General features: G+C 35.8%; 1 annotated feature.

Annotated features, from left to right (window-relative positions):
- Positions 7743 to 8942: an enhancer, noted in NCBI's record as "CDK7 strongly-dependent group 2 enhancer chr5:85202912-85204111 (GRCh37/hg19 assembly coordinates)". NCBI's record gives its function as "activates an origin of replication core promoter dependent on BRD2, BRD4, P300/CBP, MED14 and CDK7 cofactors, with strong dependence on CDK7, by STARR-seq in HCT116 cells {active_cell/tissue: HCT116}" and the evidence as "EXISTENCE:reporter gene assay evidence [ECO:0000049][PMID:35650434]".

Consider the following 11118-nt stretch of genomic DNA (forward strand, 5'->3'; position numbering starts at 1 on the left):
TAAGATTCACAATGCTCATTCATTTATTTAAGGTTCTAAAAAGTCCTACAATAAAAAAGTGATAACTTTAATTAACCACACATTTCTCAGCCTAGTTCTACCATAAATTTGTTCTTTAAACTTTGGCATAGTTCTTAACTTCTCATGAACTATTCCTTCATCTCTAAAATGAAGGCAGGATTTTGTTACCTCTAATGGTCTTTTTAGTTCTGAAATTATACATATCTAATAAATTTCCAGGACCAAGGTGGCAAAGGTCAAGGCTTAAGTAAAGCCTTGAAGATATTCTTAACCAGAATTGAGTAAATAATTGTATTTAGTTTTTGCTGCTGTTGTTGTTGATCTTGTGAGGACTCATCAGAATAGTAAGTTTTCATCTTGCTGAAATAAAGAGGTTCTCATTGTTCACTGTCTTAAATGACATGCTCATATCTACTATTCATTAATCTTTTTGTTAATAAACCATAGGAACTGACTTTATCCAAGGTCAATATTGTAATGGAAGATGGTGTTTATATCTCATAATTCAGTTTGGCTTAGCAGGGTTATGGTCATTCAGTCCAGTATTTATGACTTATTTTAAAAAGCCTCACGTAGAAGAAATCCTGGATATCTCTGGCTCAGTGTTTGGCAGAGCTTTTCCAAGGGAGAAATAGTATAAAAGCAGTATTGCATTGTAACACGGACTCTCAAATCAGATGTAAGTTTCAAGAGTTAGTCTTGCAGAAGTACACTAAGGATAACAGGGTTTGCTATTTGCCTTAGTATTACTAAGAAGCACATCATAAATCCTTGACTTCTGCCAAATAGAGAGAATTTTCATGCAGCAGCTCTCAAGTAATATGTCAAGGCCAGAGTTATTGTAGTAAAAGGAAATAATGTACATTATAATAATAAATAGTCTACTCAATAGTTTCCTGGTTACTTGAGTAAAATATATACAGACAATTTTGGTTAGTTGAATTGCTAACTCAAACACCAGTTTTCCCCATTTGCTCCAAAAAGCAGCATGGCAGTGGCAAAGCACTGTAATTCCTATATGGTCTTCTTGGTCTTTAATACTCTTTAAATGATGGTTGGAAAGAAATTAAAACAAGTCTCTCTTATGGAGCTCTAATGAAACATCCTCAAATCATTATAGGAAATCGAAAAAACTGATTTGAAGAACTAAATATAAATAATTTCACCGACTAAAATAAGATCACATAACTGAGACTAGGAATATGATTGTTTTTAAGCACTTAGAAGATTACTGTATACTGTCCAAATCACATTTCACAAAGATATTTTACTTAGCAATAGCACACATCAGAGGCACCTTTTTGGTCCAATTCAATAGGAAATTTGTATTTGATAAAAGAACTCTCATTAAAATCAATGTTTATCATCCTACTGCAATCTGCCATGAACAATTCAAGATAAATCTTCTCCTCATATTTTTATCAAGTAACTCTAGCTGGAAATACAGCCATCTTTTTGGCCCATTTATAAAGGAAATTTGTCTTCTAGAAAAGAGCTCTCATTAAAATCAATGTTTATCTTCTGACTGCAATCTACCATGCACAATTCAAGATAAATCATCTCCTAATAAGCTATCAGATAACTGTAGCTGTAAGTACATACTAGTGTGACACTTCACTCTTACAAGATAAAATCTAAAATGCTTAACCTATAATTCCATGTCACCCTCTATCTAGCAAAATTTTTTATTTCAATATAATTTTTCCTCCTCAATGAAACAAAACATATTCTTATGGACAAGTCTTCTTTTTCCTAATCAAGGATTTTGTAACCCAGTGTCCAACTATTTGTTTATACCATTCTTTCTCATAGGATATTGTCTTTATTTATCCACTCTTCTGACTATGACACACAATTTAATATATTAGAAGTCTACACCATCTATTAACCTTTCCTGATTCTACTAGGCTATAGTAAATAAATTAAATATTAACATGTCAGAAAAACAAATTATTTAATTTTAAACACACTACCTAAATCTATACAAGTATCAATGTACCTACATGAGAATAAGACTAATTCTCAATTTTTTGATCGCAATTTTATATCCAATTTTTAAAAATGACACCAGAGTATATTTTAACATGGACAAATTGAAGACATAGGTTAATTAAGATGTCTGTATGTGGTACAAAAATATGTACTTACAAAATATTATGTAAATGTAGACTAAACCAAACTTTTACAAACTTGAATACAAACTTACCACACTTAATATTTATTTCCCCAACTACACTATTAAGATTGTTCTTGACAAGGTCACCGATAACCTCTGCCTTACAAATCCAATCAGCATTTTCCGATACTTACCTTACTTGTCTGTCAACAGGGATTGATTGGTATTATTGGAAGTTGACCTCTTTCTCCTTTTTTAAAGCCCTGTTCTCCTTTAGTCTCTGTCACACTACAGTCATGGTTTTACTGGTATTTCAGTAATCACCCTTTTTCAGTCTATTCTATTATTTTATTTTTTCTGTTCTGAGTACTGAATGGTGTCATAACTTCATCCTGAATCTGAGCTTCTGTTCTCTCAACTTCTTCACAAGCTAGATCTTGTTTAATCATGTTTCAAACCACAAACTATAGGATAACTACCCAAAGCAAATTTTCAATGGGATGTCTACTAGGCATTTTGATCCTAGCAAATCCAAAACAATTTGTTTTTTTTTCTCTCCACATTTTTCCCCTTATAATCTTCCCAACTCAGATAAAATTACAAGCTCATTATTTACTTTCCTCAGAGAAATAGACTTAAAAAGAGCTCAATATACAAACTAAATTAGTTAATTTTATACTTCTGGCTTCAAGAACTGCAAGAAAATAAATTTTTGTTGTTTTGAACCCCAAATTATTGCTAACTTATTACAGCAGTAATAGAAAATTAATACAGTGATTACAAGAAAAATTATCTCAACATCGCAAATAACATACCATTAAAATATACTCTACCTTTCTTGTCCATATAATTTTGATTCATTAATATGAATGTTCATTCAATACTTACCAGACAATTGAGGAAAATATGCAAGAGAAACTTCAGAACGAACAAACTGGTATTCAGAATTTTGAGAAGATAGAGTTAATGTGAGAAATAGATAACAAATAAAAATATGTCTTCTAATTGATTAATTAAAGAAATAAGAGAATCAATTAAATCTATCAAGCAAGAACAATCTGTAATAAAAGAGAAGCAGTTGAAAAAGGAAGAAAACAAGTACAGTATTATACAAAGTGTTATGAAATGAAAAGTATGATATTCCCAGTAAAAGTAGTTATTTTAACCATTTGGGCTACTATAACAAAATATCATAAATTGATTGGATTTTAAACAACAGAAATGTATTTATTACAGTTCTAGATACTGGAAAAATCCATGATCGAGGTGACAGCAAATTTGGTGTCTGATGAGAGCCTGCTCTCTGGTTCATACCTGGCACCTTACTCAGAAGAGAGAATGAAGCTCTCTGGCACTATATCCCATTCATGAGGGCTTCACCTTCATAATCTAATCATGTTCCAAAGTCCCACCTGCTAATATCATCTCATTGGTAATAGATTTCAACATATGAATTTGGAAGGGTACACAAATATTTAGATCATAGGAGTACCGGTTGTTAGAAAGCATACAAATGAAGACTAAATAATGATATTAGTATAATTAAGAAACTTCCCAAAATGAATTATATTGAATCATAGTAAACTCTGACATCAGATTGGCAGGACACAAACATGGTCTCAACACCCACTTACTACCTGTGTGTTTTGAACAATTTATTAAAAGCCTTTATAACTTTGTTTCCTTATATGTAGAATGAGGATATCAGTAATAACATTCAGAAGGTCATTTTGAAGAGGTAAAAGGTGGTTGACTAGAGAACAATTAGTAAAATTCTTGCAAATTACTAAGTTTAATAAGTACAATTTATTATTAAATAGATGGAAATATAAAAGAAGTAATGGAGGTGGAGGTAGGTGGTAGCCTGTCTTTTGCTACATATGCAATTGACATTTTATGTATTCTACATAATTGCCCAGAACTTGTAAAGAACATCACTATTCAGAGATTAAACCTATTAAAGAAACACATTCCCTACTGCTAGGATTCCAGCAGCAACTATCATGTTTATAAATGTAGCAAATTCCCAAATTTGAATGAATAATCAATCAGTGATTGCCAGACTATAGAGGAAAATAAGTAAACAGTTAACATAAGGATCAAGACTGGATAACAGAGCAACCCAGGTAGGCACATCAAAGGTTTTTTTAAAATTCATGAATATATTTTATATGCAGTATTAATAGAGCTCATATAGCTAATCTAGAATATTCTGTAACCTCACATGAGCTTGATGAGGGCAGAGCACATGCTTTATTCTGTGTTGCATCAGCAGTGTCTAGGAGCACCTCCCATGGTGTAAACACTGGATGGTATTTTTCGAGAGTAATGAATTGAATGAACTACACATGGCCATTATTTGTGTTGTGTCACTATTGATAAATGCACCCCAAGTTCTAACTAATTACTTAAGGAAAAAGCCACCTGTCAGTCTTTGCCTTCTTGGCTTTATTCAGCTACGGGCAATGATGCTTGTCAATACTACATACCTCTTCAACCAAATTAGAACAAACATAGCAGTGTGCTAAGAACCTTAGATTCACAAGTGGAATTTAAGCATATCCTTCATGTAAACCCCATATTTAGTTTTCCTAAAGGATCCTCTGAAATTCTATGCTGTCATTAAAGGACAAATTTTTTCATATATCACTCTATTCATATAATCATAAATTTTCAGTTTCAAAATCCTGTAACAATATACCGTATTTGATTCTATCGTCTATAACCCCATGAAAGTAGTTGTGTCCTGGGTCATGTTTTATTTGATGGTGCTCCATGTGGCCCTAGTTTTGACTGTATAGATTTCTATACCAGATACAGAAGCACAGCATCCAATTCTGGGCATGGACATTCTCTCTGAGATATTTGAATATTGGTGTTGACCCATATGTCAATGGATACTGGAAACTTGACAGTTAATAGGCCACACTCATTGTGATTTCATCGCTTCTAAATTATTGATTTGTCATAAAGTTTTAACTTTTCAAAAATTTCTGATAGGGGGCTGGGGTGGAGCAAGATGACAGAATAGAAGGCTACACTATTTGTATGCCCTGCAGAAACACCAAATATTTACAACTGTCTGCACACAGAAAAGCACAGACACAAAAACCAAAAATCAGGTAAGCAATCACAATACCTGGTTTTAACTTCATCTCTATGGAGGAGTCATTAATGAGGGTCAAAGAGACAGTCCTTGATCACTGATATCATATCCCCTGGCAGTGGCTGAGCAGTGTGGAGAGTCTATGTACTTGGGAGAGGGAAAGTGCAGTGACTGAGGGACATTACATTGAAATCAGTGCTGACCAGTCATACCGGAGAGAAAAGCCATGCACTAGTGTCCGTGCACAGAAGGAGCATTTGGACCAGACCTAACCAGAGGGGAATTGCCCATCCCATTGGTCAGAACTTGAGTTTCTAGGCAACTCTTACCACCACAAGCCAAAGTGCTCTGGGGTCTCAGATAAACTTGAAACACAGTCCAGGAAACAAGGACTACAATTGCTAGGCAACTCTTAGTGCTGGGCTGGGCTCAGAGTCATAGGACTATAGTGGCAGGTGACCTAGGGAGACTCCAGCTTGGATGGCTATAAAACTGCTTGCACCACTCTTCCCCCAACCCTTGGCAGTGCAACTCACAGCAACAAAAATGTCTCCTTCCTTCTGCTTAAGGAGAGGAGAGCAAAGAGTAAAGAGGACTTTGCCTTGCATCCTGGATACCAGCTCAGCCATAGAAGGAGAGGGCACTGGGAAGAGTCACGAGGCCCCCATTCCAGACACTAGCTCCCAGATATTATTTCTAGACATATTCTGGGGTCAAAAGGGAACCTGCTGCCTTGAAGGGAAGAACCAAGTCCTGGCAGGTTTCATCACCTGCTGACTAACGGGTCCTTGGCCCTTGAATGGCCGGCAGCAATATCCAGATTATCCCATGCTCCTTGAGACCTGAGATGTGCTGACTACAGGTGTGAGCCAGCACATTCCCAGCTGTGGTGGCTAGAGTGAAAGACTTCTTCTGTTGGAGAAAAACAGAGGGAAAAGAAAAAGTAAATACTTATCAAAATTTAATGTGCGTAAAATTCAACTGGGTGGTTAATTAAAATGTATTACTAAATGCCACTACCAGAGATAATAATTAGGTAGAATTTTTAAATCATGGAGTCTGCATTTTTATACGACTGCAAAACATTATGATGCAGGTGGCCATGCCCCATAACATGCACTACTCAGTTCATAGATGTTCTTAATAGCGGAACGTCTTTCACTCACTATCACTTGGGAAATTGAAATCTGAATTCGGATTACCCCTGTGCCTTCCCTCAAGTCAATTTCTTCAACTTCTAAATGTATTTTTTATGTATTAACATATTTCTAGTAAACCAGATTTAAGCCAAATAAGAATGTTCACAATTTAAGGAAAACATTTTAGGAAAAGTAGGATTTTGTTTTCTGCCTTCAACAATATTATAATATTTCTAGATCGTTAGATACACTGTGTCTTTATGATAAATTATGGTCACTTAAAAAATGAAACAAACTTGGAATTTGAGGCAACCAGTGCTGTTATCTGAACAACTGATACATTAACTTATGTGTAGTTTACATTTGCTTCTCAAACATGATTCATAGTCTTTCATCAGGAAATGGAGTACCTTTCTTCTAAGCTAACATATTCTATTAGTATAATGAATTATCACTTTTATCTAGGGTATCAGCAGAAATATGACTCATTAATTATATGAACAAGTAACCACTTGCATAAATAATGGAGAAATGAAAAACCCAATAGCAGCAGCAACAGCAAAACCCTGTATTTTACTTAAACTGTTTTATTAAGCAATACCTATAAAGGTATTTTTTTTTTCAAATACATATGCTAAGACAATGAAATCAGGGGATTCAGAGAATTGAGACAGAAAATAATATTTTTAAATTTTTAAAATTATTTTGATGATATTTTTTCCAATTTGCTGTTAATATTTTGGTAGCCATTTACATTGAATAATAGTTCTTTGTATCTTGAATTTTATGTCAATATACTTCTGATTGGAGTCTCATAAAACATCAAATGTAGCATAATTTAGCATATGTATACACACTTAAATTCAAAGCAGTACCTAAGGATTCCACCTGCAGAACCTGTTTGCTCCTCATTATTGGCTTACAAAAGCCTGGTTCAATTGTAATGGATAGGATTAGGCTGTCAGAAGAACACTGCATGGAATATACATACCTTAACGCATTTTGCAAGCATCACTACATTGATAGTCAATATATACATTACATTTGAGAGCAACAGTTTTTGATAGTAAATCAAAACGTAATTTTATAAGTTTCTGAAGTTTTCCCTAGTTTCTTCACATTAAGCCAGTAGTAAAACCCATTATTGCTTAAAGGTAAGTAAATACAAACCACATCTATGAAAAACATTTTTACTGTTCCAAAACTTCTATTATTTCAATTTCTTTTAAGTCTGTTTCTTTTCTATTTAAACTTAAATACTGTTATAAACAGTTAATTTAAAAAATACACAATTATAAATTAATAACACAGAAACCATTTGACATTTGAGTACTTTTCCCTTGGAATTTCAAATTAGTACTTCTTTAGTGCTTAATTTAGTGCAAGTATGCTTTACCTAGAGACACAATAACCACACTGAAAGTCATGAACCATATGTAAGCTTAATGGCAATGAGATATTTAATGTGTCTCATGTGACATACTCTGCAAAATGGTGCTGCATGAATGCCAATACAATGTTGCAAACAGAAGATCAAATTCACAGACGTTTTACTATAAAAATGTCACAATATTTTTTTAAGTGAACTTAAAGATCATTGAAGTCTATAGGAAAAAAAAACTTGCAATGGAGGAGAACCTTGTTCTTCCAGTACATTAATAGTACTGTGTTTTTTGTTTGTTTGTTTGTTTGTTTTCCAAGATGGTGGATTAGAGGCTTTTAGCAGGCATCAGTCACTTGAAAATAGCAAGAGAGTACATAAAACTCTACTTTGTGAGCTTTAATTCAGAAGAAAAAATGGGAATCCACTTGGATCATGAAAGACACCCCAGATCCTGTGGGGGGAATGACACCAAACAGCCCCATGATGGCGTCTGGCTGATAGAGACTGAAACCCCATGTGCTAGAGAGGCAGTGAGCCTCCTTCTGTGACTCACCTTTCCACTGGGAGCCTGAGCAACCTAGGCAGACAGACGACACTTTGTTTCTCCCAAGCTCTGGAGGTAAGGTGGAAGAGGCTTGGCGATGCTACGAGGGAAAGACACCAGGAAATGCTGCAGATATTTTCCTAGGCCCAGGACTGAAAGCAGTACACCATTTTAAATCTGGGCACACACACATCAGGCACTCATAGGAGACCCAGCAAAGTGACCATGCAGGCATTTTGGACTCAGGCCGGAGATTGGAGCACCTGCTCTGGAGCTGGGCAGGGGTCTCCATAGCCAGAACTGTGGAAAGCACCTCAGCAGTAGGTGCTGGAATTGTGCTCTCCCCATCATAACCCTGGGACAGGAAGAAAACTGCCCTACTTACAGCTCATGGGTGCTGAGGCTTGAAGCCAGGGCCAGCCAGGCAATTTGGAACTGACATGCATATGACATCGCTGGGTGCTCCAGCCTGCTTCCCTGAAGTCATGGCACACCAGGGCCTTCTCTGCTTCACTTCTAGGCAGAAATCCAGGCATTTGGAGCACCTGCTTGCCTGAGCCAGCAGCAAGAACCACTCCACCCTTCATGGACACAGATTATACTATAACGGGGCTTTCTCTGCTCCATGCTCAGGCAGATCGCCAGGGATCTCCAGGTGACACCTACTCCACTGGATTAGGAGTTTAGGCCACCCCCTATCTCCATGCAGAATATGAGGCTGAGGAGGTTTCCCAGTTCCATGCCTAGGCAGACCTCTGGGCACACTTGGTGACTGCCCACTGGATTCTTCCTGAGCCCTGGTGCTTGTGCCAGCCATTGGAAGACCTGTATGTGAACTGGCCTGGCTGAGCACTGCTCTTCATGGCCCCACTCCCAGGGCTGAGCAGGGAGCTCAGACCACTGCATTCCACGAATCAGCCCATTGCCTGTGGCATCACAGAGATTCTCCCAGTAAACAGGAATCAAGTGTATACCTAGCTGCATAGGCTGCTACTGGCTCTTACCTACAAGCACCATTAACTGGCTTGTAGGTCAAACTGAACAGTCCAATATAAAACCTTTTGAAACAAGTGCGTAGGGCTATAGAAGCAAGCCAAAAAGTCTACACAGCATGCTCACATCCTCTAGGGAAGGGGCAAAGAGAAAGGGGTAAAACATAAATATACGTACTTACATAAAGACTATATAAAAATATATGTATTTATATCAAAGTATATAAAATATATGTTACATATATTATATTTATATAATATATAATATGTAATGTATTATGCAATGTATATTATATATTCTATAATTACATATTATATGTAATAATATAATATAATATATAATATATACACATATAATTATATAATGCACACATATTACATACAGAAATAAAATACATATAATTATATTTAAGTTATATATAATATATTATATATTATATAATTATATATTATACATTATATATAATAAATATACTATATATTATAATATATAACATATACATATATAATAATATAATATATAACATATACATATATAATAATATAATATATAATATATACATATATAATAATATAATATATAATGTATACATATATAATAATATAATATATAATGTATACATATATAATAATATAATATATAATATATACATATATAATAATATAATATATAATATATACATATATAATAATATAATATATATACATAATTACATATATAAATATAATATATGTAATACATTATGATATAAAAATATATATTTTATATACTTTGAAACAAATACGTATATTTTTATATAATTTTAATATAAATGCTTACATTTATGTTTTACCCCTTTCTCTTTGCACCTTCCCTAGAGGGTGTGAACATGCTGTGTAGACTTTTTGACTTGCTTCTTTTTTTTTAAATTTATTTATTATTATTATACTTTAAGTTTTAGGGTACATGTGCACAATGTGCAGGTTAGTTACATATGTATACATGTGCCATGCTGGTGCGCTGCACCCACTAACTCGTCATCTAGAATTAGGTATATCTCCCAAGGCTATTCCTCCCCCCACCCCACAACAGTCCCCAGAGTGTGATGTTCCCCTTCCTGTGTCCATGTGTTCTAATTGTTCAATTCCCACCTATGAGTGAGAATATGCGGTGTTTGGTTTTTTGTTCTTGCGATAGTTTACTGAGAATGATGATTTCCAATTTCATCCATGCCCCTACAAAGCTTGCTTCTATAGCCCTACCCACTTGTTTCAAAAGGCTTTATATTGGGCTGTGCAGTTTGACCTACAAGCCAGTTAATGGTGCTTGTAGGTAAGAGCCAGTAGCAGCCTGTGCAGCTAGGTATACACTTGATTCCTGTTTACTGGGAGAATCTCTGTGATGCCACAGGCAATGGGCTGATTCGTGGAATGCAGTGGTCTGAGCTCCCTGCTCAGCCCTGGGAGTGGGGCCATGAAGAGCAGTGCTCAGCCAGGCCAGTTCACATACAGGTCTTCCAATGGCTGGCACAAGCACCAGGGCTCAGGAAGAATCCAGTGGGCAGTCACCAAGTGCCCAGAGGTGTGCCTAGGCATGGAACTGGGAAACCTCCTCAGCCTCATATTCTGCATGGAGATAGGGGGTGGCCTAAACTCCTAATCCAGTGGAGTAGGTGTCACCTGGAGATCCCTGGAGATCTGCCTGAGCATGGAGCATGGAGCAGAGAAAGCACAATCTGTGTCCATGAAGGGTGGGGTGGTTCTCGCTGCTGGCTCAGGCAAGCAGGTGCTCCAAATGCCTGGATTTCTGCCTAGAAGTGAAGCAGAGAAGGCCCTG

Source organism: Homo sapiens, chromosome 5 (assembly GCF_000001405.40).
Source record: "Homo sapiens chromosome 5, GRCh38.p14 Primary Assembly".
Taxonomy (NCBI): domain Eukaryota; kingdom Metazoa; phylum Chordata; class Mammalia; order Primates; family Hominidae; genus Homo; species Homo sapiens.